The sequence below is a fragment of the Homo sapiens genome, chromosome 20, assembly GCF_000001405.40.
Source record: "Homo sapiens chromosome 20, GRCh38.p14 Primary Assembly".
Lineage (NCBI taxonomy): Eukaryota > Metazoa > Chordata > Mammalia > Primates > Hominidae > Homo > Homo sapiens.
In genome coordinates, this window is record NC_000020.11 from 63671159 (window position 1) to 63696329 (window position 25171).

The following is a 25171-nucleotide window of genomic DNA, read 5'->3' on the forward strand; positions in this document are numbered from 1 at the left end:
CAAACAGTTCTCCTGCCTCAGCCTTCCGAGTAGCTGGGACTACAGGCACCCGCCACCACACCCGGCTAATTTTTGTATTTTCAGTAGAGACGGCAGTTCGCCATGTTGGCCAGGCTGGTCCCAAACTCCTGACCTTGTCATCCACTCACTTTGGCCTCCCAAAGTGCTGAGGTTGCAGGCATGAACCACCGCACCCGGCTGGACCTACTGTTTTATTCCATTTATGTGACACTCTATTAATAGAAAAGGCAGGGGTGGGGCTGGTGGTTATATGGTGCACATAACTGCCAGAACTCAGTACACTTAAAATGAACATCTTAATGTGTGAAATTTTTTTTTTTGAGACGGGGTCTTGCTCTGTCACCCAGGCTAGAGTGCAGTGGTGCGATCTCCACTCACTGCAAGCTCTGCCTCCTGGGTTCACGCCATTCTCCTGCCTCAGCCTCCCGAGTAGCTGGGACTACAGGCGCCCGCCACCACGCCTGGCTAATTTTTTTTTTTTTTTTGTATTTTTAGTAGAGACGGGGTTTCACAGTGTTCGCCAGGCTGGTCTCGATCTCCTGACCTCGTGATCCGCCTGCCTCGGCCTCCGAAAGTGCTGGGCTTGCAGGCGTGAGCCACCATGCCCGGCCAATGTGTGAAAATTTAAAAGTACCAAAGCTGGACCCCACCCCAGATTGCTCCCATGACACTCTGTGGGTGGGACCTGGGAGTTGGGTTTTGTTTTGTTTTGTTTTGTTTTTGAGATGAAGTCTCACTCTGTCGCCTAGGCTGGAGTGCAGTGACACAATCTCGGCTCACATTAACCTCTGCCTCCCAGATGAAAGCGATTCTCCTGCCTCAGCCTTCTGAGTAGCTGGGATTACAGGCACACACCACCACCCCCTGCTAATTTTTGTATTTTTAGTAGAGACGGGGTTTTACCATGTTGGCCAGGCTGGTCTTGAACTCCTGACCTCGTGATCCGCCCGCCTCGGCCTCCCAAAGTGCTGGGATTACAGGCGTGAGCCACCGCGCCTGGCTGGGAGTTGGGTTTGTAAATCTCCCTGAGTGGGGCTGGGGCAGGGAACTGCTGGGTCTGGGTCTTCCTGGCTCCTCTGGTCTGTGGCTTCCTGACTGCGGTGGCCGGGGGCTCCCAGGGCATCGTGGCCGTCTGTCTTGCTGAGCGTGGCACGTGCCTTTCCATGCTGTGGAGGAGCGTCTCCCGGTATGGCGAACTGCTGGTTAGGGTGGGGCGGTGTTGCCAGGTCATCCAGGTCTGGCCTCTGCTCTCGACATCGCCGGCGCTGTTGCTCATCTGCGCTTGTGATGTTCGATGCCTGCTGCACATGTCTTGGCTTCCCTCTTTCCCGGCCTCTGTGAGCTCCAGCGCTGCGTCCCTTCTCTTCCTCCTGTAGAGCCGCAGAGCACACAACATTGACCTGAAGGGGACAGTCGTGATCTTTGACGAAGCTCACAACGTGGTGAGTCTCCGCTGGCCTCCTAAACACCTCCTATTGCTTCTGGCCTTTTTGTCAAGAGCCACGCAAACCTTTCTGGAGGGGCTCTGGCCAAACTCCTGAAGCCCTAGGTGCCCAGGACTGGGGACTGAGCACACCAGGAGCTTCTGCCACCCCCTCCCGCCCTGATCCGATGCCTCTGCTGGGGCTGGAGACTGGCCAGCTGGGCCAGGGACCTGCCCGTCAGGCGCAGGGCCCCCACAGGCCGCTCACCAGACCCTTTCCCTCCAGCCAGCTCGGGGTCAGCCTGGGCCAGGGCTGTCTCCTCTGCCCTCGGCAGCAGCAGGCTTGTGGTCTTGCCTGCAGTGTCTCTGCCCTTCCGGCCACATGGCTTGAGACTGAGGCAGGAGAATCGCTTGAACCTTGGAGGCAGAGGCTGCAGTGAGCCAGGATCACACCACTGCATTCCAGCCTGGGTGACAAAGCGGGATTCTGTGTCAAAAAAAAAAATGTTGACTGGGCGCGCTAGCTCATGCCTATAATCCCAGCACTTTGGGAGGCTGAGGTGGGCGGATCACGAGGTCAAGAGATCAAGACCATCCTGGCCAACATAGTGAAACACCGTCTCTACTAAAAATACAAAAAAATTAGCTGGGCGTGGTGGCGTGTGCCTATAGTCCCAGCTACTCAGGAGGCTGAGGCAGGAGAATCACTCGAACCCAGGAGGTAGAGGTTGCAATGAGCCAAGATCACACCACTGTACTCCAGCCTGGTGACAGAGCAAGACTCCGTCTCAAAAAAAATAAAATCAAAAAGAATAATTGGCAATTCCAGTGAAATAATTGTTTGTTTGTTTGTTGAGACAGGGTCTCCTTCTGTCGTCCAGGCTGGAGTTCAGTGGTATGATCTTGGCCCACTGCAACCTCCACCTCCTGGGCTCAAGCCATCCTCCCACCTCAGCCTCCCGAGTAGCCGGGACTACAGGTGCACACCACCACGCCCGGCTAATTTTTGTATTTTTTGTAGAGGCGGGGTTTCCCAGCGTTGCCCAGGCTGGTCTTGAACCCCTGAGCTCAAGTGATCTGCCCACCTTGGCCTCCCAAAGTGCTGGGATTACAGGTGTGAGCCACCGCGCCCGGCCTGAAACAATCGTTTCTAAATATTGGTGTGGGCCACACAGTCATGTTTGGACCTACTTGTGGCCTTTTACAGACCCCAGGCCAAGGCTTTGGGAACTTGGCTGTCAGCCTCCTGTGCCTTCTGCACCCCCACCCCATTTCTGCTTTCTGGAACCCCCGATCCTGTCCTGTTCTGTGGTGATTCGGGTGTGCTTGGGCTCTAGGAGAAGATGTGTGAAGAATCGGCATCCTTTGACCTGACTCCCCATGACCTGGCTTCAGGACTGGACGTCATAGACCAGGTGCTGGAGGAGCAGACCAAGGCAGCGCAGCAGGGTGAGCCCCACCCGGAGTTCAGCGCGGACTCCCCCAGCCCAGGTGCGTTCATAGCCAGACTGCTTGGTCCTGAGGCCTGCGCTGCTGCAGGGTGAGCCCCACCCGGAGTTCAGCACGGACTCCCCCAGCCCAGGTGCGTTCATAGCCAGGCTGCTTGGTCCTGAGGCCCGTGCTACTGCAGTGGGCAGCCTGCCCTGTGGCTGTGTGTGGTCGGCCTGGGCACCATCTATTCAGGCTGGCACTGCAGGGCATCCGCTTCTCTCAGAGGCTTCTTGGGTGTGAATTCTTCAGGGTCCTGTAGCCTGTGGAAGGGCTGGTATTGTTCAGTAGTTCTGGTATTTTCCAAAGACCTATGTCTTCTCCCAGCCAGTATCAACTTGGCCTCTACTGTGTAAAACTGGAAAACTCTACTTTGTGAAGCTGAGTTGGGAGCATCGCTTGAGGCCAGGAGTTTGAGACCAGCCTGGGCAACATGGCGGAACCTCGCCCCTGCCAAAAAATTAGCCAGGTGTGGTGGTGTGCTCCTGTGGTCCAAGCTTTTCCGGAGGCCGAAGTGGGAGGCGTGCTTGAGCCTGGGAGGCAGAGCTTCCGGTGCCCCAGATGACTCCACTGCACTCCAGCCTGGGCGGCAGAGTGAGGCCATCTCAAAAAAAAAAAAAAGGAAAACTAAATATATTCACTGTAAGGGCATTTTGCATCTTTAAATGACCCACAAATCTGGCATGCATCAGCTGCTCTGCCTGTAGGTTCCTTCCCAGTGTTTGTCCAGAGGTGTATTTCCACACAGCGCTAGTCACGGCATACGTGGAAAACGTGGAAACCCTTCATGGATGTTGTCAGTTGGTCTATATTTTCTTTCTTTTTTTTTTTTTTGAGATGGAGTTTCACTTTTGTTGCCCAGGCTGGAGTGCAATGGCGCGATCTTGGCTCACTGCAACCTCCGCCTCCTGGGTTCAAGCAATTCTCCTGCCTCAGCCTCCCAAGTAGCTGGGATCACAGGCGTGCACCACCACGCCCAGCTAATTTTGTATTTTTAGTAGAGATGGTTTCTCCGTGTTGGCCAGGCTGGTCTCGAACTCCTGACCTCACGTGATCCACCCGCTTCGGCCTCCCAAAGTGCTGGGATTACAGGCGTGAGCCGCCACGCCCGGCCTTTGTCCATATTTTCTACATGGCTTCTGTAAACAGCTGACTAGGAGTCTGTGTGAATATCTTCATAGGTTCTGCTGTGACACTACTTGCTCGTGAGCATCTCCAGGTGTAAACAGCATCAGCTTCCCCCATTTTCCTTTAAAATCGCACATGTGGACGGACACCACGGGGACCCTGGACCCTGGGGAGCCCCGTCCTCACCCTTCTCACCAGGATGGCTGCTTGGTAGAGAGTGAGTTTGCAAAGTTGGCATTTGTTTAGTACAGAAGTTATCAGGTGTTCTGGCTTTAGAATCCCTTTATATATATATATATATACATATATTTAAGTGACAGGGTCTCACTCTGTTGCCCAGGCTGGAATGTGGTGGTACAATCAAAGTTCCCTGTAGCCTCGGCCTCCTGGGCTCATGGGATCTTCCCGTCTCAGCGTCTTAAAGCGCCGGGACCACAGGTGTGCACCACTGCCACCGGCTCTCAAGATTGCCACGCAGGGAGTTGCAGTGGGGGAAGGGGTTCCTGGGACTTTGAACGCTCCACCTCCCTCCTCTCCACAGTCCCCCAACCCCACCTCTCTAACGGGGTGGACGGCCGCCTCTTTCCATCCTTCGCTTGGCGCAGGGTGGGGAGAGTGACAGGTCTCCTTCCCTCATCTCGGCAGCTGCCATTTCATCGCTTACATAACGTGGGAGAAACATCCACCCACCCCCAGGCCTGTGTGAACATCACCACGGGGCCTTCTCCACTCTTCAGTTTTGTTAGTTACTTGATGTGCAGGGCTTTTTGTTGTAACTAGTGGGGGACGTGTGGTGGGGTGGGCTTCTGCCATCTCATTCAGGACCAGAACTTCAGTTTTCATCCCTATCTGTTCCCCCACCCCTTTGGAGATGGGGTCTCACTCTGTCACCCAGGCTGGAGAGCGGTGGTGCCATCACGGCTCACTGCAGCCTCCACCTCCTGCAGCCTCCACCTCTTGGGCTCAAGTGATCCTCCTGCCTCGGCCTCCCAAGCTCCTGGGACTACAGGCGTGTGCCACTGTGCTTGGCAGGGTCCATTCTTTTCCTCACACTTTATTTATTGAAGAGCCCAGGCCGTTTACCCTGCAGAGTCGGAATCTGTACAGGAGGGGCAGCCACACGAGTTCCCCGGTTTACTCTGAACTTAGGTGGCTTGAGGGCCCCAGTTAGACTGCGGCCACCGTTTGCCGGGCTCCAGATGGGACGTCCTTTCTATCAGAAGGCTCACAGTATCTCCTTTCCCGTTTCTTCCCATGTGAACATTGTTGCTGCTGAACACCTGAATATGTTAATCACTGGGGGCTTGCAAGATGGCAGTGTGCTAATTCCATCATCTAGTCAGTTAGCAGGAATAACTTAGGACCACGCCCTGCACCATATCAGCTATGTGGTGATCCCATTCACACAGGAAAGGTGGGACAAATGCTGGGGGTGGGCCGGGTGTGCTGTCTCACACCTGTCATCCCAGCACTTTGGGAGGCCCAGGCAGGCGGATCACGAGGTCAGAGATTGAGACCATCCTGGCCAACACGGTGAAACCCCGTCTCTACTAAAAATACAAAAAAATTAGCCAGGTGTGGTGGTGCATGCTTGTAATCCCAGCTACTTGGGAGGCTGAGGCAGGAGAATCACTTGAACCCAGGAGGCGGAGGTTGCAGTGAGCCGAGATCGCACCATTGCACTCCAGCCTGGCGACAGAGCGAGACTCCGTCTCAAAAATCAATCAGTCAATCAAGTGTCATCACTGAATGTTTGTGTGTGAACGTGGGGATTGGTCCTGCCCCATGCTCCCTCCTGAATCTCACTCCTGACCTCAGTTGCTGCACCTTGAGGTGTTTTCATGTGGGCTCTTGTGTCCTGACCCCGGCGGTTGTGGCCTCTTTGCTGTCTGGGAGTCAGGATTTTTCACACTCATGTCCTGCTCCAGACCTGGAATCAGCCAAGTCTCCAAGAAGCCCTGCTTTCTTTTCCTGCAAGACGGTATTTCAAGACCCGCCATGCGGCAGCGGGTTGGTCATGGTTACTGGGTTGGTCGTTGTTACTGGGTGTTTTCGTGGAGATACAGCCATACGCACAGGTGTGTTCACAAATGTTAATTCTAAAGGTCAAACACCCGGCCAGGCATAAGGGCTCAGCGGTAATCCCAGCACTTTGGGAGACCAAGACTGGTGGATCACCTGAGGTCAGGAGTTTAAGACCAGCCTGAGCAACAGGGTGAAACCCCATCTCTACTAAAAATGCGAAAATTAGCCGGGCATGGTGGCGCACACCTATAGTCCCAGCTAGTCGGGAGACAGACACGAGAATTGCTTGAACCTGGGACATGGAGGTTGCAGTGAGCAGAGATGGCGCTGCTGCACCCCTGCCTGGGTGACAGAGTGACACCCTGTCTCAAAAATGAATAGATAAATAAAGATAAAACACCTGCTCCTCTTGGTGTCTCCAGTTTGGATTTGGCCTGTGTAGCCTCTTCCTTCGCCTGTTGGTGGATTTGGCCTGCACGGATTCTGTGTGGCCTCTTCCTTCCCCTGTTGGTGGATTTGGCCTGCACGGATTCTGTGTGGCCTCTTCCTTCCCCTGTTGGTGGATTTGGCCTGCACGGATTCTGTGTGGCCTCTTCCTTCCCCTGTTGGTGGATTTGGCCTGCACGGATTCTGTGTGGCCTCTTCCTTCCCCTGTTGGTGGATTTGGCCTGCACGGATTCTGTGTGGCCTCTTCCTTCCCCTGTTGGTGGATTTGGCCTGCACGGATTCTGTGTGGCCTCTTCCTTCCCATGTTGGTGGATTTGGCCTGCATGGATTCTGTGTGGCCTCTTCCTTTCCATGTTGGTGTCCTTTTTTCCATGCCAGGAATCCTGGTTCTCAAGGGCGGGGTTGTTGGCACGAGCGTGATGCAGACTGCCTTTGCTGCCTTTCTCTTGCCCAGGGCTGAACATGGAGCTGGAAGACATTGCAAAGCTGAAGAGTAAGTGTTGCCCTCCCCGCCTCCTTGCAGCTGGGTGGGGCCTCCTCCTTGCGAGGAGGTGGGTGACACCTCCTCGACCCACAGTGATCCTGCTGCGCCTGGAGGGGGCCATCGATGCTGTTGAGCTGCCTGGAGACGACAGCGGTGTCACCAAGCCAGGGAGGTGAGAGGCGGGGAGCCAGCCCCTTCACTGCAGGCCCAGCCTAGAGCTAGAAACGGGCCATGGTGCAGTCCTGGGCTGTCACATCACGAGTGAGGCCTGTTTTCAGGCCTGTTTTCCCTTTTTGAGACCTGGGAGGAGCACCTGCTTTGCATGATCTGGTTGCTGAGATGTTGAGAGGAGCAGCACACACTCCCACGGGACAGCACACAGCCCCCCACGGAACGGCACACACACCCATGGAACAGCACACACACTCCCACGAACAGCACACACACTCCCACGAACAGCACACACACTCCCACGGAACAGCACACACACCCACGGAACGGCACACACACCCACGGAACAGCACACACACTCCCACGGAACAGCACACACACCCACGGAACGGCACACACTCCCACGGAACGGCACACTCTCCCACGGAACAGCACACTCTCCCACGGAACAGCACACACACTCCCACGGAACAGCACACACACCCACGGAACGGCACACACTCCCACGGAACAGCAGACTCTCCCACGGAACAGCACACACACTCCCACAGACAGCACACACACACCCACGGAACAGCACACTCTCCCACGCGGGGCCGCTGGGTTTCCTGCAGTTTCTCCTCCTCCAGGCCTTTCCCTGGACCCTGGTCCAGTCCGTCATTTGAGCACAGGTGCCTGTTAGAACGAGACCTTCTTGTTAGGACGATGAGTGTCCCAGCCACCACCTCTTTTGGACTCCGGGAGGCCTGGAACGTTCTGAACGCTCCGTGGGGCTCCAGTCTTCTCCGCAGCCAGGGCAGCAGGGTTTGCTGTCTGTCCTGCAGGCAGATGAGGAGTCAGGGCTGGGGCCTGTGTGGGGGCTCTCCTGAGCGCACAGCCGCCGAGGTGGAGCGTGTTCTGCCTGAGCGCCGACCTGGTCGGGGGAATCCCAGTTGCTTCCAGGTGGAGCCACTGTCCTCAGCGTAATGCTCAAGGCTCTGGCCTGGCTCCTCGGCCACCCTGCACCCTCAGGGTCCCCTCCTGTAGCTTCTGCTGCCCCATCACTGTCACTCTCCAAAGCTTTGGGGACTCTGCCCAGAGCCACCGCCTCCCAGAAGCCCCTGACAACCTCTTGACGACCCCCTAGTGACCCCATCCCTCCCCTCTGACGGCGGCCCCTGCTCTGAGGCGGCTTCTTTTCCTCGGTGCTGTTCTCGTGCTGGCCAGGCCTCCTCTCCCCACCTGGAGGCTCCTGAGGGCGGAGGCCTCTCACCTCCAATGCTGGCGTCCCCTGGAGGGCTGAATTTGTTTCCGAGGGAAGGAAACTTCCACAGTTGTTGCCTTCAGTTCCAAAGCTGCAGCCTGATTTCCCCCTCCAGGCTCGAGCCTGTTTTCTTCTCGGCAGCTACATCTTTGACCAGTGTCGTCCCCCCTCAGGCCCGAGCCTGCCTTCTTCTCCTCAGTTCCCAAAGCTGCAGTCTGGTCCCCCCGCCAGGCTCGAGCCTGCCTTCTTCTCCTCGGCAGCTACATCTTTGAGCTGTTTGCTGAAGCCCAGATCACGTTTCAGACCAAGGGCTGCATCCTGGACTCGCTGGACCAGATCATCCAGCACCTGGCAGGACGTGAGTGCTGGCACGGGGTCTTTGGTGCGGGCAAATGTGGCGTAGGGGGTGCAGCAGGCCTCCATCTTGGCAGTCAGGGCTCCCCTGGCCGTCACCTGGCCGTCAGCAGGAACAGGCCCACAGAACCTCATCTTCTGATCGGGGCGTGGAGGCGTTAGTGCCACTTGCCAGCTGCCGTAGAGCCTGTCCCAGTTCTGCAGCTGGCGGCTTCGTCCTACAGCCTCATCCCATTATTCTGCTTTTGAGAAAGAGCAGCCCAAGGCCCTAGCTGGCTTGTGGGGCCTCTGGCTTCTCCACACCACCCCGAGTTCTGCTTCTCAGAGTTGTGGGGTCCAGAGGCTTTGCCCAGAGGCGGTGTCCCCATGGGCTGCTCTGGTTTGAGACGCCGGGCCCAGCGGGGTCTCTCCTCTGCTGCGCTCCCGGGTGCTGGGGAGGGTGGCTTTTGCTGCTTCAACCCTTAGGCGACCATAGAGCCTCTTTTCAAGTCCCACTGACCCCCTTGGAGACTCTGTCCCTGCCTGGCTTCTCTCCTGGCTGCTGGGAAGAGCAGGCGAACTGCCCGCCCTGAATGGATGCTGCGCTCCACCCTGGGCCCCCCATTGGGCAGGAGATGGAGCTTGGCAGTCGGGCTGAGCGGGCTCATGCTGGAAGGGCCGGGGCTGGGGTCGGGGCCTCCCCTGCCTGCAGTGTGGGTGTCAGCGCCCTGCTGCCCTCCAGGTGCTGGAGTGTTCACCAACACGGCCGGACTGCAGAAGCTGGCGGACATTATCCAGGTGGGGCCTGCTCCTCTGTGGCATCTCCTTCCCTGATGGAAGCCGGGCGGGTGCCTTCTCCTGCTGTATTAGTTAACTGATTCTAGACTTGGGGATGGGAGAAAGGCCCCTACACCACCTGTTTCTGATTGGCAAACTCTCGGCTCCTTTCCAGTGCCCTAAACCCACACTGGGCCTCCTGCAGGGATGGGGGAGGACGAGGTCTGGTGGCACATGCCCAGGGTGATGCTGGTGAGGGAGGACGCAAAGGACAGTGGGGGCCGGGGAGCCGCTCCTGCCCTGTCCGGGCCCTCAGGCCAGGGGGGACCCACTGCTGGCAGCCCCAGCAGCCCCAGCTGCACGCAGATGAAGAGCTCTGGACACACGCGGCTTCCTGAACAGCTTCTCCAGGGACAGACAAATGGGGACCCTGCAGGTTCCCGGCAGGGGTGTCCCTGGGAGCCCATGATTGGGGGTGCGACCCTGGCCCCCTTCTCATTGGCCCCGTCCTGTCCTGCAATGCCCGTCCCATGTGAGGTCTGCTTCTGGCTCCATGCCTATGGCAGCACCTGCTTTCCCTGGCGTAGAGGTGCTTGTCCGGTTTGTGGAGGGCACGCCCCATTTTGGGTGCTCTGGGCACGTTGCCTCTCCGGGGCCTCGGTGGCTTTTTTAGAAGCAGACTCAGAAGTCCCTGACTGGGGAAGCCAAGGCACAGGTGGCTGTGTGGAGCCCTGTGAGGCCTCCTCTGTGCTGCCCACGCTGTACCTGCTGGCCACACGAGATCATGGCAGGGTTAGGCAGGGCTGCCCAGCGCTATGACAGCTTCATGAGTGTCCATCTGGCCTGTGGGGTGCTTGAGCTGGGGGAGGCCGCAGAAGAACCCTGGGATGCATGGCTGGCCTGTGCATGCTGCTGGGCATGGAGCTGCAGATCCCGGAACAAGCAGGCACTGCCTTCTCCTTCACAGACGCAGCTCTGAGCGGGGGCGAGACCTGGGCAGGGACCAGGTGGGGTGGGCACAGGGTGGTGGGGCCCAGGCTCAGCCCTCCCTCCACTGTGGCCGTCTCTGTGGCCAGTGACGCCACAGCCTGTGTCTTCTCTGTGCGGTAGCTGGGGCTGGAAGGACAGCACTGCCTTGTCCTCCCAACTCCTCCCCAAAGGCACGGTGGGCATCCCAGGCCCAGACCCCTCTGTCTGTGGCTCCTGCCTGCCAAGGGCTGCTGTGCTGTCCCGCATGGAGTGTGGTTGGCTCTTCAAGCAGGAGGCCGTGCACCTATCAGGCGGACCTGCTTCCATGTCCCTGATGGGTCACTGCAAAGCACCTCCAGCACATGGCCAGGCGAGGTAGCCCTGCAGCCCAGGGCCTGGAGGGCAGGTGTGAGCTGGCCCGGGCCTGTCCCTCCCTGGAATACAGCTTCCCAGGCTCCCACTTATGGAGAAGTCTCCTCCACACTATGGAACTGAATCCTAGAATGTGGCTTCTGAGGTTCCTACACTCGAACTGAATCCTGGAATGCGGCTTCCAAGGCTTCCAGCTATGGAGAAGACTCCACACTCTGGAACCGAATCCTGGAACGCGGCCTCCCAGGCCCCCAGCTATGGAGAAGACTCCACACTCTGGAACCGAATCCTGGAACGCGGCCTCCCAGGCCCCCAGCTATGGAGAAGACTCCACACTCTGGAACCGGATCCTGGAACGCGGCCTCCCAGCCTCCCACTTAAGGAGAAGTCTCCACACTCTGGAACCGGATCCTGGAACGTGGCCTCCCAGGCCCCCACTTAAGGAGAAGACTCCACACTCTGGAACCGAATCCTGCACACTCCATCGGTTTGGAATTTCCTTTGGCTGCTGCTCTAAGTAGCCGCTGGTGGATGACTCAGCTTCTGCCAGCCCTCGGGTGCCTGGAGGATGAGGGACTGCACACAGTGCTCACCCGCGTTGGCTCCTGAGCCCCTGCAGGTGTGGGCGGTGCCCATAGGGCTGGTGCTGGGTTGGGCCTGCAGCCCTGAGTCACAGGTGACCCTGGGGGCAGAGTGGGGCCAGTGGCCCCAGGAAGAGGATGTGGGATGCACAGCTCAGCTGGAGGCGAACTCCAGGCAGGGTCAGGCCGTGTGCTCGGAAGTCAGGGCTTAGCTGGAGGCAAACTCTGGGCAGTGCTGGCCCGTGTTGGGGAACCAGTTGCCCCTGGGCCCCCGTGAGACTGCTGGGTCCTCATCCCTCTCTGCCTGAGGCCGGAGCTGCCCTGGGCTGAGGCACAGGGGGATTTGTGGTGGTGTTTTTTTGAGAAAGGGTCTCGCTTTGTCACCCCGGCTGGAGTGCAGGGGCTTGATCACAGCTCACTGCAGCCTCAACCTCCTGGGCCCAAGTGATCCTCTTGCCTCAGCCACCCGAGGAGCTGTGAACACAGGTGTGCACCACCGCACTCAGCTAATTTTTAAAATTTTTTTGTAGAGATGAGGTCTTGCCATGTTTCCCAGGCTGGTCTCAAACTCCTGGGCTCAGGCAGTCTGCCCGCCTTGGCCTCCCAAAGTGCTGGGATTACAGGCAAGAGCTTCCATGCCTGCCCAGCAGAAGGCTTTTCGAAGGAAGCTGTTTCCTGAGGCAGACTCAGCCCTGCTCATGGCAGCCACCAGCGTGGGGGTGAACTTGTTCTGTTACTTCCATCCCCGTGGGCCAAATGCTTTGGTAAAACACAAGGCCCTGTGTTTAGCTGTCTTGACAGTGAAAATGGCTGGGAAGGAAGGAAGGAACGGAAGGAAATTTCTCTCTCCTTCTGTGCGTACCCAGGCACGTGCACATGCATGCAGAGTACGCACACACGCACGCACGCCTGCACAAATCCACGCATGTTGCCAAGTCTCTGTGTTCCAGCCGTGGTGTCTGCCCCCCGGTGTTCTCTAGTTCGGCTTCTCCGCATTTCTGTGAATGATTCCGGCTTCTTGGTGTTCCCAGCAGAACTCCCTCAAGTCTGCGGCGGGGCTCTGACGGCGGTGGCTTGGCTGACATGGCCACATTGCTGAGCCTGTTGGGGGCTTTGCGTTCCTGTTCTGGCCGTTTTTGGCTCGTTTTCCAGGAACGGTCGTCACGCGCTCCTCTCCTAGTGCAGGCATCATTCCTTTCCCATTGATTTGCAGGGTTCTCTGTAAGTTCTGAGGATCCCATATACATATACTCTCTGTAAGTTCTGAGGATCCCATATACATATTCTCTCTCTAAGTTCTGAGGATCCCATATACATATTCTCTCTCTAAGTTCTGAGGATCCCATGCCGACATACATATTCTTTCCTTGTCTCATGCTGGTCATTTTTTCCATTTTCATGACAGGTTTGGTGAACACATGTTTCCTTGTCAGATTTTTGTTCTGAGCTTGTGCCTCCCGACCAAGATGCTAAACCGGGTCTTGTGTATTCTCCAAACTGCACTGTAGAGTGACGGAGCTTTGTGTCTGGGCCTCCATGCCTTCTGACGTCACCTGTGGGGGTGTGAAAGGCAGACTCTACCTTGATTTTTCCCAGCACGCCACACCGGTGGTTCTGTGCGCTGACCGAGCGGCTCGGCTTCCCCCAACTCCACTGGGCACCTGCCACACTTTTCCTCATGTTTTTGTTCACTGTGGTTTTGTCGTAAGTCCTGGTGTTGGCCTGAACCAATTTCTTTTTGTTTGTTTTTGAGACAGAGTTTTGCTCTTGTTGCCCAGGCTGGAGTGCAGTGGCGCGATCTCGGCTCACTGCAAGCTCCGCCTCCCGGGTTCACGCCATTCTCCTGCCTCAGCCTCCCAAATACCTGGGATTATAGGCACCTGCCACCACGCCTGGCTAATTTTTTGTATTTTTAGTAGAGACGAGGTTTCACCGTGTTAGCCAGGATGGTCTCGATCTCCTGACCTCGTGATCCGCCTCCCAAAGTGCTGGGATTACAGGCATGAGCCACCGTGCCCAGCCTGATATTTTTAGTAGAAATGGGGTTTTGCCATGTTGGCCAGGCTGGTCTCGAACTCCTGACCTCAGGTGATCCTCTCACCTTGGCCTCCCAGAGTGCTGGGATTACGGGTGTGAGCCACCACGCCCGGCCTCTTGTTCTTTTGAAACCTGCCCTGACGTTTTTTCCATAGTGCATCTTGGAGTCAGCGTGTCTACTTCCTGTAAAAATCTTACTGTGATTTTGACTAGAATGTGTTGAATTCCTGTTTTTTTTTTGAGTCAGGGTCTCTCTGTTGCCCAGGCTGGAGTGCAGTGGGACCATCACAGCTCACTGCAGCCTCAACCTCCTGGGCTCAGGGGATCCTCTCAGCTCAACCTCCCAAGTAGCTGGGACCACAGGCACATGCCACCATGCCCGGCTAGGTTTTTTTTTTTTTTTTTTTGGTGAACACCCTGGGGTTGCACCATGTTGCCCAGGCTGGTCTCGAACTCCTGGGTTCGGGCAGTTTGCTCCTCTCAGCCTCCCGGAGTGCTGGGATTACAGGCCTGAGCCACTGCACTAGGCCATGTTGAATTTCTAGATTAATTTGGGGCCCTCAGGGGCACAGAGAGGAGGGCTGGGCCAGTTGGCGGGAGGAGAGGCCCCTCGGGCTGCCGCATTTTCAGTGCATGGAGATGGCCTATGTTGGGGGAACACAGAGCTCACCGGGGGTCCCTGCAGGGAGGAGAAAGGGTCAGGCAGGTGCCAGCTCCTGTCCATTGGCCTGGGGCTGCATGATGGCAGGGGCCGGTGAACCGATGACCCCTGGGTGTCCTGTGACCTTCTGTGTATGCGGCTGATGCTGCAGAAAGTCGGGTGGCCTCAGGCTCCTGACGGGGCTGCACTTCCTCTGCCTTTCAGATTGTGTTCAGTGTGGACCCCTCCGAGGGCAGCCCTGGTTCCCCAGCAGGGCTGGGGGCCTTACAGTCCTATAAGGTAGGGGCCACCTCCAGGAGGCAGGTGGAGGGCAGCCCTTGTTCCCCGGCAGGGCTGGGGGCCTTACAGTCCTATAAGGTGGGGGCCACCTCCAGGAGGCAGGTGGGGCTGGGGGTCTTCTGGTCCTAAAAGGTAAGGGGCTGCCCCCAGGACATGGGCGGGGCCTCCACACTCCTGGTCCTGTCCCCTCCAGGTGCACATCCATCCTGATGCTGGTCACCGGAGGACGGCTCAGCGGTCTGATGCCTGGAGCACCACTGCAGCCAGAAAGCGAGGTACAGACCTGGGCCCACACGCTCCCCGCCCGCCCGGGTGCAGTGCCCGGCACCACCATGCCACAGGCTAGGCACATGCCCAGCCGTGGATCTCCTGCCCCCATGGGCCTGGCCACCTTCTCCATATCCAGGCCAATCCAGAGCATTCTCCTCACTGTCCCTCTGAAGATTGGAGTTACTGAGAGACGTAGGAGATGGCCTGATGGCACCGTGACCTGCCCAGAGTCACCTGGTTGGTGGTGGCAGAGCCACAGCCCAGCCAGGCCTCCCTGCTGGGACACGCTCGTTTATGCCGAGGCCGTCAGCACAGAGCCTCCACAGTGAGGCACGGCTCTGCCTGCTGCCTCCACGCAGCGCCTGGCCGGGCCAAGCCTCAGGGTCACATCTGAAGGGGGCCCGGCTGGCCCTGTTGTCCGAAGCCCCTGGTGCGCTCAGCCCCGAGGCCCCACGTGCCTTCTTGGCTTCCTGTGCTCCGTGGCGTCTTCGAGTCGGTGCTGCCGGGGACGCTGTGTGGATGGGGTCTGTGAGTGTGCCCTCGGCTCCGTGTCCGGAGCCCTGTGGTTCTTGGGGTGTATCTGGCCCCACCCCCACTGCGTGGTGTCCAGGGTGGGGCTTCACGGCTGCAGCTGCGGGAGCTGCTGCCCCTGCCTTGTGCTCCAGTGGGGCCTTGCCTCTGGGCTTGGTTCGTCCCTCTCTGGAACATTCTTTCTCAGCTGCTGTCCGACCCATGGTGGCATGACGTGGCCCTGGCTGAAGCAGCCCTTGTGCGGTTGCTGTGGTTGGGTCTGCCTGGCCGAGCCGGAAGGGAAGGGCTGGGAGGGCGTCAGGGTGGCGTGGCTTGACCCCCGCTCGGTGATGGTCCTGCAGCAAGGCCTCTCCCAGCAGGAAGCGTCCATCCCGGGGGGAGGCCGGCGCCCCTCACGCAGTTGGGGTTGCGGGAGGCAGTGCGTGCCTGAGGCAGCCGGTGCACAGATTCCAAGGGCCTGGAATCTGTTTGTTCCATTGACCTCTGATGTCACTTGACTTCTCAGAAGCAGCCACTCCCTGCACTGGGCGTTTGTAGGAAATGAGCTCCTGGAGGAGGGGGTGGGGAAGTTCCCCCATTGCAGGGCACACTCAGCCCCAGGAAGGAAACGTGCCTCGTCCCTGCTGACTCCGAATCGCAGTCAGAGTCGTTCTGCTTGTGCCGTGTTGAATTCCCGGCATCCGGCATCCAGACTCAGCCTCCTCCCCAGGCCACGGCCGCCGTGGCCAGTCGGTCAAGCCCTTCTAGGAACTTCCTTTGAGCTGGCGCCCTTGTTCACTGCTGACGCCACTCAGAGGCTTGTGCACGTGTCCTGCTTCCAGGCAGAGCTGGGAACTCGCACCCCGTCTTCTGCACGCGGCCGTGGAATGTCGGGATGCCGGCGCTTCCTTCCCGTGTGCTCTTGGCGGGGTGGGCTTCTTGCCCTGAGCCGCATGTCACAGTTTCTGCAGAAGTTTAGGGTTGGAGTGGGCTGACCTCTCTGCAGGTGTCCCCAGCCTCTGCCTGGGGTCTGCCTCCTACTCCCAGGACCCCCTGTCCCCCAGAGGGGCCCCAAGCTGGCAGGCTCACACTCAGGGCAGCCTCCTTTGTTCTGACTTCTGCACAGTGGGCCTGGGTGGCTGCCCGCGGCTCGCTTGCTTGATGCCAGTGGGTGGAGAGGGTGATGGGCAGAGAGGCAGGTGGTCAGGCCCCCAGTCCCGTCCTCACACTCTGTGCCCTCTGCCGCCCCCCGCCCCACAGGGAAGGTGCTGAGCTACTGGTGCTTCAGTCCCGGCCACAGCATGCACGAGCTGGTCCGCCAGGGCGTCCGCTCCCTCATCCTTACCAGCGGCACGCTGGCCCCGGTGTCCTCCTTTGCTCTGGAGATGCAGATGTACGGGCCACCCCTGCCAGGGCCTGAGCACCGGTGACACCTCTGACATCAGCGGGGTGGAAGTGGTGGGGGTCCCCATGAGCCGGGTGCTGGGGGTCTCGGGCCTCGAGGGCTAAAGGGGTGCTGGTGCACTTCCCCACTGTCTGCTCCCTCTGGCCACGCTCAGCCCTTTCCCAGTCTGCCTGGAGAACCCACACATCATCGACAAGCACCAGATCTGGGTGGGGGTCGTCCCCAGAGGCCCCGATGGAGCCCAGTTGAGCTCCGCGTTTGACAGACGGTGAGGGCCTGTCCCTGGGCCCTGCTGGGGTGGGAGGTGGGGGAGCACTGAGGCCTGAGGTCCTGAGCAGTGGCCTCTCCGGCTCTAGGTTTTCCGAGGAGTGCTTATCCTCCCTGGGGAAGGCTCTGGGTGAGTGCCCTGAATGCCCCAGCTGTGCCCATCCTGGATCCTGGACCCCTGCTCCCAAGAGCTGGTAGGGAACCCTGCAGACATCCTGCCCCTGCCTTGACCCCGGCCCCTGCACTTCCAGGCAACATCGCCCGCGTGGTGCCCTATGGGCTCCTGATCTTCTTCCCTTCCTATCCTGTCATGGAGAAGAGCCTGGAGTTCTGGCGGGTGCGTCTCCCCTGTGTTCTGGGCGGGGTGGGTGAGGGCAGGGCTGGAGCATGAAGCAGGCAGTGGTCACAGCTCCTGCTTGCCCTCATCGGATCGGCGGCGTGACCAGGGCTGCCGTGTCCCTGCCTCTTCCTCCCACAGGCCCGCGACTTGGCCAGGAAGATGGAGGCGCTGAAGCCGCTGTTTGTGGAGCCCAGGAGCAAAGGCAGCTTCTCCGAGGTCGGCACTTGGCCGGGGCTCTGGGCCTGCTGCCCCCTCGTGCCTCCCCTGCCTCTCACAGCTTCCCCAAGGCTGACCACTGGCCCTGACCATGGGCTCCGGCGGCTCCCGCTGCCTCTTCAGGGCTCCTGCGTTTCCTTCCTGGCCCTGAGTGTTGCCTCTTATCTTACAAAGCCCCCAGCACCGGGTGGGTGTGGTAACAGTGGCCCTCCTGTCTGAGTAGCCCTAGTCGGCCACCCTGGCCCTGGGGTTCCCCGTGTTTTCTGGGAAGCACTGAGCAGGCGTGGGGTCAGCCTGGGATCCGTGCCAGGAAGAAGCTTCCAGAACCCGATTGGCCTTCCTGGCTAGGACGATCCTTCATCTTGGAGCATGAGACCTGGGTCTCCCTCATGGGGGAGGAAGGGGCTGGGGGGGGGCTCCAGGCTCAGCCTCACCAACTTTCCTTCCAGACCATCAGTGCTTACTATGCAAGGGTTGCCGCCCCTGGGTCCACCGGCGCCACCTTCCTGGCGGTCTGCCGGGGCAAGGTGAGCTCTCCAGGGCCCTCTGCCCTGACCTGGTTGCCTGTTCCCTGGTGGGTGCTTATGGCTCCCCAGCAGACTCTGGGCCCTGGGGGCTGCCCGGTCCCCTCCTTGGGTCCCACGAGAGCGACTGCTGGCCCTGCTGGGAGCGTGTCCTGCTCTGGGCCTGGGCAGGCAGGATGGGAGTTTCCTGGCCACAAGAGTTGGAGGTGGCGTCTGGGAGCTGTGGACCCCAAGTGGGGTCCTGACCCACAGATGGAGCTTCCTCCCACCCCTGGTTGGGGACGGAGCCTCGGGGAAGGTGGCTGGGCTGGGTGTGGGCACCAGGGAGAGGAGCCCCCACGGCCCCAGGCAGCTCCCTGGTGTGTCCCCTAGGCCAGCGAGGGGCTGGACTTCTCAGACACGAATGGCCGTGGTGTGATTGTCACGGGCCTCCCGTACCCCCCACGCATGGACCCCCGGGTTGTCCTCAAGATGCAGTTCCTGGATGAGATGAAGGGCCAGGGTGGGGCTGGGGGCCAGGTGAGTTACAGCAGGGTGGGGCTGGGGTAAGGCGGTCTGGTGACTGAGCCCCCGCCCCGTGGCCAAGGGAGCCCCCGTGACCGAGCCGCCTCGCCCCACAGTTCCTCTCTGGGCAGGAGTGGTACCGGCAGCAGGCGTCCAGGGCTGTGAACCAGGCCATCGGGCGAGTGATCCGGCACCGCCAGGACTACGGAGCTGTCTTCCTCTGTGACCACAGGTGCGTGCAGTCCGGTGGCAGGCGCGGCGCCAGGGGACACGCCCACACCCCACTGGGCCCCTGGACTCTCCTTCCCCACATGAGGCCCCGTCTCCTCCAGAGCCTCTCCGGCTACTCGGGGTCAGCGTGGGGCCCCTGCAGCAGATGAGGGTCTTCACTTCGGTGAACTGAACCCTTGAAGCGGCTGTGGGCAGGGCAGCAGGGCTATGGCCACCCCCCAGGTTCGCCTTTGCCGACGCAAGAGCCCAACTGCCCTCCTGGGTGCGTCCCCACGTCAGGGTGTATGACAACTTTGGCCATGTCATCCGAGACGTGGCCCAGTTCTTCCGTGTTGCCGAGCGAACTGTGAGTTCCTGCCCAGGGAGGGGATGAGGGTGTTGTCCCCAGAGGAGCCAGAAATGGGTCCACCCACCCCCATGGTTCTGCAGATGCCAGCGCCGGCCCCCCGGGCTACAGCACCCAGTGTGCGTGGAGAAGATGCTGTCAGCGAGGCCAAGTCGCCTGGCCCCTTCTTCTCCACCAGGAAAGCTAAGAGTCTGGACCTGCATGTCCCCAGCCTGAAGCAGAGGTCCTCAGGTGCGGACGGGCAGCGCTGGGTGGGCGGTGTGGGGGTGGCGGAGCGGGCGGCGTGGGGCGGGCAGCACCAGGCGCCCAGGGCGGAGGCGACTCACCTGGCTTTGTGCGCTTCCCCTCCCACCTCCAAAGGCTGCCTCTCCCTCCTAGGGCAGGGCCCCCACGGGCTGCAACCCTCCCCTACAGGCAGAGAACGCCCCAGGCAAGGATGCCCCCCGAGGCTGAGACTCCCCCCAATAGCAGGGAGGACACCCACAGGCAGGACCCCAAGTGCTGGGACTCTCCCCCAAGAGGGGCTTTGCCACAGGCAGGGACCCCAGCTGGGGCCCCCCGTGGGCTTCACTGCGCACTCGGGTGCCCCTGCAGGGTCACCAGCTGCCGGGGACCCCGAGAGTAGCCTGTGTGTGGAGTATGAGCAGGAGCCAGTTCCTGCCCGGCAGAGGCCCAGGGGGCTGCTGGCCGCCCTGGAGCACAGCGAACAGCGGGCGGGGAGCCCTGGCGAGGAGCAGGTACAGTTCCAGGGCCTTGGGATGGACACAGACCCTCTGTCTCCTGAGGCCAACCCGACCCCGCCCATCTGGCCTCAGGCACCTCCCCACACACCCCTGTAAATCCCCTGCCTGGCAGGCAGGCGGGCAAGCGGGCGGGGGATCCCAGCTGCCTGGCTGTCTGTGGGTCCTCCACCCCACCTCACCCACAGGCTGCTGGCTCCCAGGTGGTGCATGCCCTGGCCCTCCGCGGGTGCCCCCCACATCACTTTGGTTCTCTGGCGGGTCAGCTTGGCTCAGTGCACTCAAGGTCGGGTGCCCCTGCCACTGGCTGCGCTTGAGGCTGGCCTTTCTCCAGGAATGTGCTGCGGGTGGAACCCAGGTTCCTTCTTCCTTGGGGCCTTTTGCCCCAGAAGCCCATAATTCCTCAGGCCAACCCGAAATTTTCTCCCTGCTTCCTGCTGGGAGCCATTCCCCTCTTCCTGCCCATCCCTGCCCTTCAGGCCCCTGGAGTGAGCTCCAGGTGCAGGCACCAGGCACCTGTGTCCCCTTCCTGCCAGCCCCTCGCTGTGGTCGGACTGTCTTCCCTGGACCTGCTCTTACAAGTCACCACCTGCGAGCCTCATGAGCCGCTGGTGTGACTTGGACAGGACCAAGTTGTGGCACTGTCACCGGGGTGTGCTGTGCCCCCCTCCCCCGACCTCCATCTTGGCTCAGGGCTCCTTGGGACCATCTTCCCTGTGCGTCCAGGTGCTTTGGGACCCCAGAGTGTGTGGTTGGGGTCTGTGTGTGGTTGTGAGCTGTGTCCTCCTCAGGCCCACAGCTGCTCCACCCTGTCCCTCCTGTCTGAGAAGAGGCCGGCAGAAGAACCGCGAGGAGGGAGGAAGAAGATCCGGCTGGTCAGCCACCCGGTGCGTGAGCTGTCCCTGCACCTGTGCCGACCACCATAGACACGCATGGGAACGCAGCCGTGGGTGCCCCCAGCCACGGCTGGTCCCGATGGGACCAGGGAATCCACCCCCAGGAGCTGATGTCCAGGGCAGCTGTGATGCTGACGGCCAGGGGCTCAAGTGTGTGGTTTCTTCTGCAGGGGGCTCATGAGTCCCAGCTGGAATCAGGCCCCACCCTTGGGCAGGTTTGGCATGGGGCCTGCAGCACTGGGCTTGGCCCTGGCATTTCCCTCAAGTGTGGATGCACACCTGCCTCATGTGAGGGACACAGCCCATTCCTAGCCTTGGATCAAAGAACGGAGTTATAGCCGGAGCCAGGAAGCCCCCTGCCTGCTGGAAAACCCCAAGTGTGGCGGCCTTTGTCCATGTCCCTTGGCTTCTGGGAAGAACTGGGTGGTGCCCAGGCAGGGCTGGTGCCATCAGGAAGTGGGTGGCTGCTGAGGGGCCTGGGCTGGCGAGGGCCTGGGTGGGGAGTGCCTGGGCCGCCCCTGCCTTGGTTTCCACGTTTCCGTGTTGGTCTGGGGTGTGTAGAGAGATGGGCACTGCTCATCCGGAAGCCCCTCCTTGTGCGCTGCCATCCTGGGAGCCTCAGCCGCATCCGCTGTGGGGCAGGGGGCTTGAGGGAGGAGGAGAGAGACGGGCCATGCAGGACCCCTGGCTTGAGGCAGAGCCAATCTACCCTTTGCCCATTCACTGCTCTCAGTTCCCTGCCAGCCTCTCACTGTGTGACCTCAGACGGGCCCAGCCCCACAGCTTTCTTCCCGCAGCCCCTCCCTATGTCCATCCAGCCAGCCAGTTTCTCAGGCAGCAGCCCCACCTCGGCAGTCACTGTCCCAGGGAACGCTCAATGTTCCAAGGAAGGCTCTGCAGCCCCAGGGACCAGATGATGAGGCTGGCCCTGATGGAGCCTCGGGCCTGTGTCCTGCAGGAGGAGCCCGTGGCTGGTGCACAGACGGACAGGGCCAAGCTCTTCATGGTGGCCGTGAAGCAGGAGTTGAGCCAAGCCAACTTTGCCACCTTCACCCAGGCCCTGCAGGACTACAAGGGTTCCGATGACTTCGCCGCCCTGGCCGCCTGTCTCGGCCCCCTCTTTGCTGAGGACCCCAAGAAGCACAACCTGCTCCAAGGTGCCCTGGCTTGCAGAGGCCACCCACCCTGAGGGCAGTGCTGCCGCCGCGTGTGGGGTGGGGGCCATCTGGGTCCAAGGTGGTCTCTGTTCTCTAGAGAAAAAGGGGCAGATGGGGACAGACGCCCCTTCCTCTACAGGCTTCTACCAGTTTGTGCGGCCCCACCATAAGCAGCAGTTTGAGGAGGTCTGTATCCAGCTGACAGGACGAGGCTGTGGCTATCGGCCTGAGCACAGCATTCCCCGAAGGCAGCGGGCACAGCCGGTCCTGGACCCCACTGGTAAATGGGGCCCCAGGTGGGACCCTCAGACTCCTGCGTGGAAGGCAGTGTGGGCCAGAGTCCTGGGCTGCTTGGGGTGGGCATCCTCGGGCCCTGCTTGGCCCCGCCTCTCTGTTCCCCTATGGGAGTGATGGGGGCCTCCACCTCCACCACCAGCACCAGCAGCACCACCTCCACCTCCACCTCCACCTCCACCTCCACCACCACCTCCACCTCCACCACCACCTCCTCCACCACCACCACCTCCACCACCACCACCACCACCACCACCTCCACCTCCACCACCTCCACCTCCACCACCACCACCTCCACCTCCACCACCACCACCTCCACCTCCACCACCACCTCCACCACCACCACCTCCACCTCCACCACCACCTCCACCACCACCACCACCACCACCACCACCACCACCACCACCTCCACCACCACCACCTGCACCACCACCTCCACCTCCACCACCACCACCACCTCCACCTCCACCAGCAGCAGCATCACTTGTTGGGGAGACCCTGTGCAACTCCATGCACAGCCCTGTCCCTGCCATAGCCCCGACCCCTAAGCACAGCCCTGTCCAACTGCCACACGTCCCCTGCCTCCCATGCATGGTCCTGGGGGGTCAACTGCACACGCCAGGGTCCTAGGGTCCTAGACCCCTGTCCTCCCTGTTTCTGCCTCTGTTTGGGGTGGAGTCCAAGTCTCCAGAGGCGGAAGCATCTGTGTTCGTGTGTTAATGAACAGCCCCTACAGAGTTCCCCTAGTTCACCCAGGGGGGAACCTAGCCTGTTGGGACGACCCCAGATCCCTTCTGGGCTTGGTACTCACTGGGATATCCTCATGCCTGCACCCAGCCTACGGCTCTGAGCTCCTGAGTGGGGCTTTGGCCTGCCCGCCACTGTTCCAGCCCCCATCCAGCAGGCTGGTGTCTCCTCTGATGCCCCCAGCACCCAGGCGTGTACCTGCCTGGGTTTTCCCGCCCTGGTCTGAGGTGGGTGAGGCCTGGCCTCCCTAGCCAGCCCTGCCCCCCCACCCCAGGGAACTTTCCAGATGCTCTCGACCAGCTTTGTGGCTCTACATCTCTTCATCAGGAAGAACGGCGCCGGATCCCAAGCTGACCGTGTCCACGGCTGCAGCCCAGCAGCTGGACCCCCAAGAGCACCTGAACCAGGGCAGGCCCCACCTGTCGCCCAGGCCACCCCCAACAGGTAGCTGACTCCTGAACCGTGTGCAGCCTACGACTTGGTGGGTCCCTCAGTGGCTTCACGAGGCTAACTCTTGAGTGTGGCCGGGGCTGCCCCTGTGGGGAGCCATCTCATGGTGGGGACTGCTCCCGGTTCTGCACCCCGCAGTTGTCCTGAGCAGCTCTCCAGGAGTTCCTGGAGGAAGGGCGGGCAGGGCGGTGGGACTCTCAGTCCTCCACCCCAGCGCCACTCTGAGCCATGCTACTCCCACACCAGGAGACCCTGGCAGCCAACCACAGTGGGGGTCTGGAGTGCCCAGAGCAGGGAAGCAGGGCCAGCACGCCGTGAGCGCCTACCTGGCTGATGCCCGCAGGGCCCTGGGGTCCGCGGGCTGTAGCCAACTCTTGGCAGCGCTGACAGCCTATAAGCAAGACGACGACCTCGACAAGGTGCTGGCTGTGTTGGCCGCCCTGACCACTGCAAAGCCAGAGGACTTCCCCCTGCTGCACAGCAAGTGGCCCTGGCGTGGGGAACAGCCGGTGGGGTGGGGGGCAGGGGACAAAATGGGGGCTGTGCCGGGTCTGATTGAAGCTCCCCGCAGGGTTCAGCATGTTTGTGCGTCCACACCACAAGCAGCGCTTCTCACAGACGTGCACAGACCTGACCGGCCGGCCCTACCCGGGCATGGAGCCACCGGGACCCCAGGAGGAGAGGCTTGCCGTGCCTCCTGTGCTTACCCACAGGGCTCCCCAACCAGGTAGGGCACCTGCCTGGCTGCTCCTGGCAGCGCCCCAACCGCACGCAGCCCTGGGAGTGAGCAGCAAAGCCCCAGGCCCCCCTCAGACTCAAGTCTCTGTCTCCAGGCCCCTCACGGTCCGAGAAGACCGGGAAGACCCAGAGCAAGATCTCGTCCTTCCTTAGACAGAGGCCAGCAGGGACTGTGGGGGCGGGCGGTGAGGATGCAGGTCCCAGCCAGTCCTCAGGACCTCCCCACGGGCCTGCAGCATCTGAGTGGGGTGAGCCTCATGGGAGAGACATCGCTGGGCAGCAGGCCACGGGAGCTCCGGGCGGGCCCCTCTCAGCAGGCTGTGTGTGCCAGGGCTGTGGGGCAGAGGACGTGGTGCCCTTCCAGTGCCCTGCCTGTGACTTCCAGCGCTGCCAAGCCTGCTGGCAACGGCACCTTCAGGTTGGTGCCTGGCCACTACAGTTCCTGCTGGGTGTAGCCCCAGGTGATGGGCTGAGGGGGAAAGGGCAGGCCCTTGTCCTGGTGGCAACGCCTGGCAGACGTGTGCAGTGGGCCGGTTGTCTCACAGGCCTCTAGGATGTGCCCAGCCTGCCACACCGCCTCCAGGAAGCAGAGCGTCATGCAGGTCTTCTGGCCAGAGCCCCAGTGAGTGCCCACGGAGGCCCCCAGCACACCCAACGTGGCTTGATCACCTGCCTGTCCAGCTCTGGTGGGCCAAGAACCCACCCAACAGAATAGGCCAGCCCATGCCAGCCGGCTTGGCCCGCTGCAGGCCTCAGGCAGGCGGGGCCCATGGTTGGTCCCTGCGGTGGGACCGGATCTGGGCCTGCCTCTGAGAAGCCCTGAGCTACCTTGGGGTCTGGGGTGGGTTTCTGGGAAAGTGCTTCCCCAGAACTTCCCTGGCTCCTGGCCTGTGAGTGGTGCCACAGGGGCACCCCAGCTGAGCCCCTCACCGGGAAGGAGGAGACCCCCGTGGGCACGTGTCCACTTTTAATCAGGGGACAGGGCTCTCTAATAAAGCTGCTGGCAGTGCCCAGGACGGTGTCTTCGTGGCCTGGGCTTGGTGGTGGGAGTTGAGGGACAGGGAGTTGGCAGAGGCCCCTCCCAGCCTGCCATGTGA

The 25171-nt window shown here is 60.7% G+C and overlaps 1 protein-coding gene and 2 long non-coding RNA genes across 6 annotated transcripts in view, besides 7 other annotated features; 2 read left to right on the forward strand and 1 right to left on the reverse strand.

Annotated features, from left to right (window-relative positions):
- RTEL1 (regulator of telomere elongation helicase 1) overlaps positions 1 to 25095 on the forward strand; it is a 38444-nt gene extending 13349 nt beyond the window's left edge. For 2 of the 4 annotated variants that reach the window (NM_032957.5, NM_016434.4), the window contains exons 9-35: positions 1398 to 1463; positions 2782 to 2935; positions 6987 to 7025; positions 7110 to 7188; positions 8691 to 8788; positions 9506 to 9561; positions 14365 to 14439; positions 14633 to 14714; positions 16480 to 16612; positions 16779 to 16892; positions 16981 to 17021; positions 17143 to 17228; positions 17370 to 17447; positions 17897 to 17974; positions 18344 to 18490; positions 18592 to 18707; positions 18929 to 19052; positions 19136 to 19283; positions 19647 to 19789; positions 20584 to 20679; positions 21647 to 21845; positions 21985 to 22125; positions 23214 to 23330; positions 23583 to 23816; positions 23908 to 24063; positions 24170 to 24322; positions 24620 to 25087. In NM_032957.5, the coding sequence (NP_116575.3) occupies positions 1398 to 1463; positions 2782 to 2935; positions 6987 to 7025; positions 7110 to 7188; positions 8691 to 8788; positions 9506 to 9561; positions 14365 to 14439; positions 14633 to 14714; positions 16480 to 16612; positions 16779 to 16892; positions 16981 to 17021; positions 17143 to 17228; positions 17370 to 17447; positions 17897 to 17974; positions 18344 to 18490; positions 18592 to 18707; positions 18929 to 19052; positions 19136 to 19283; positions 19647 to 19789; positions 20584 to 20679; positions 21647 to 21845; positions 21985 to 22125; positions 23214 to 23330; positions 23583 to 23816; positions 23908 to 24063; positions 24170 to 24322; positions 24620 to 24627 (2961 nt within the window). In that variant the 3' untranslated portion in view covers positions 24628 to 25087. Of the gene's footprint in view, positions 1 to 1397; positions 1464 to 2781; positions 2936 to 6986; positions 7026 to 7109; positions 7189 to 8690; positions 8789 to 9505; positions 9562 to 14364; positions 14440 to 14632; positions 14715 to 16479; positions 16613 to 16778; positions 16893 to 16980; positions 17022 to 17142; positions 17229 to 17369; positions 17448 to 17896; positions 17975 to 18343; positions 18491 to 18591; positions 18708 to 18928; positions 19053 to 19135; positions 19284 to 19646; positions 19790 to 20583; positions 20680 to 21646; positions 21846 to 21984; positions 22126 to 23213; positions 23331 to 23582; positions 23817 to 23907; positions 24064 to 24169; positions 24493 to 24619 lie in introns of all 4 variants that reach the window. The other 2 variants (NM_001283010.1, NM_001283009.2) reach the window with 2 other exon arrangements.
- The window catches only part of RTEL1-TNFRSF6B (RTEL1-TNFRSF6B readthrough (NMD candidate)), a 40889-nt gene that overhangs the window by 13349 nt on the left and 2369 nt on the right, over positions 1 to 25171 (forward strand). Inside the window, exons 9-35 of the long non-coding RNA NR_037882.1 lie at positions 1398 to 1463; positions 2782 to 2935; positions 6987 to 7025; positions 7110 to 7188; positions 8691 to 8788; positions 9506 to 9561; positions 14365 to 14439; positions 14633 to 14714; positions 16480 to 16612; positions 16779 to 16892; positions 16981 to 17021; positions 17143 to 17228; positions 17370 to 17447; positions 17897 to 17974; positions 18344 to 18490; positions 18592 to 18707; positions 18929 to 19052; positions 19136 to 19283; positions 19647 to 19789; positions 20584 to 20679; positions 21647 to 21845; positions 21985 to 22125; positions 23214 to 23330; positions 23583 to 23816; positions 23908 to 24063; positions 24170 to 24492; positions 24620 to 24696. This is a non-coding gene — a long non-coding RNA (RTEL1-TNFRSF6B readthrough (NMD candidate)). The remainder of the gene's footprint in view (positions 1 to 1397; positions 1464 to 2781; positions 2936 to 6986; positions 7026 to 7109; positions 7189 to 8690; positions 8789 to 9505; positions 9562 to 14364; positions 14440 to 14632; positions 14715 to 16479; positions 16613 to 16778; positions 16893 to 16980; positions 17022 to 17142; positions 17229 to 17369; positions 17448 to 17896; positions 17975 to 18343; positions 18491 to 18591; positions 18708 to 18928; positions 19053 to 19135; positions 19284 to 19646; positions 19790 to 20583; positions 20680 to 21646; positions 21846 to 21984; positions 22126 to 23213; positions 23331 to 23582; positions 23817 to 23907; positions 24064 to 24169; positions 24493 to 24619; positions 24697 to 25171) is intronic.
- On the reverse strand, positions 198 to 7217 carry LOC124904954 (uncharacterized). Its single transcript, XR_007067717.1, has 2 exons — positions 6486 to 7217; positions 198 to 1391 (listed from the first exon to the last, which is right to left on the reverse strand). It is a non-coding gene; the product is annotated as an uncharacterized LOC124904954 (long non-coding RNA).
- Positions 5355 to 5499: an enhancer, noted in NCBI's record as "145 bp 20:62307938 sequence used in MPRA reporter constructs". NCBI's record gives its function as "activates a minimal TATA-containing promoter with rs79981941 allelic activity by MPRAs in C283T melanocytes {active_cell/tissue: C283T}" and the evidence as "EXISTENCE:reporter gene assay evidence [ECO:0000049][PMID:36423637]".
- Position 5427: a transcriptional cis regulatory region, noted in NCBI's record as "rs79981941 or 20:62307938 MPRA-significant variant associated with a GWAS melanoma risk locus at 20q13.33". NCBI's record gives its function as "allelic transcriptional activity by MPRAs in C283T melanocytes {active_cell/tissue: C283T}" and the evidence as "EXISTENCE:reporter gene assay evidence [ECO:0000049][PMID:36423637]".
- Positions 10830 to 11554: an enhancer, noted in NCBI's record as "H3K27ac-H3K4me1 hESC enhancer chr20:62313341-62314065 (GRCh37/hg19 assembly coordinates)". NCBI's record gives its function as "activates a minimal SCP1, AML or CMV promoter by ChIP-STARR-seq in naive H9 embryonic stem cells {active_cell/tissue: H9 hESC(naive)}" and the evidence as "EXISTENCE:reporter gene assay evidence [ECO:0000049][PMID:30033119]".
- Positions 12281 to 13005: an enhancer, noted in NCBI's record as "H3K27ac-H3K4me1 hESC enhancer chr20:62314792-62315516 (GRCh37/hg19 assembly coordinates)". NCBI's record gives its function as "activates a minimal SCP1, AML or CMV promoter by ChIP-STARR-seq in naive H9 embryonic stem cells {active_cell/tissue: H9 hESC(naive)}" and the evidence as "EXISTENCE:reporter gene assay evidence [ECO:0000049][PMID:30033119]".
- Positions 18091 to 18235: an enhancer, noted in NCBI's record as "145 bp 20:62320674 sequence used in MPRA reporter constructs". NCBI's record gives its function as "activates a minimal TATA-containing promoter with rs16983884 allelic activity by MPRAs in C283T melanocytes and UACC903 melanoma cells {active_cell/tissue: C283T | UACC903}" and the evidence as "EXISTENCE:reporter gene assay evidence [ECO:0000049][PMID:36423637]".
- Position 18163: a transcriptional cis regulatory region, noted in NCBI's record as "rs16983884 or 20:62320674 MPRA-significant variant associated with a GWAS melanoma risk locus at 20q13.33". NCBI's record gives its function as "allelic transcriptional activity by MPRAs in C283T melanocytes and UACC903 melanoma cells {active_cell/tissue: C283T | UACC903}" and the evidence as "EXISTENCE:reporter gene assay evidence [ECO:0000049][PMID:36423637]".
- Positions 24789 to 24838: an enhancer, noted in NCBI's record as "active region_18242". NCBI's record gives its function as "activates an Ori minimal core promoter by ATAC-STARR-seq in GM12878 lymphoblastoid cells {active_cell/tissue: GM12878}" and the evidence as "EXISTENCE:reporter gene assay evidence [ECO:0000049][PMID:35858748]".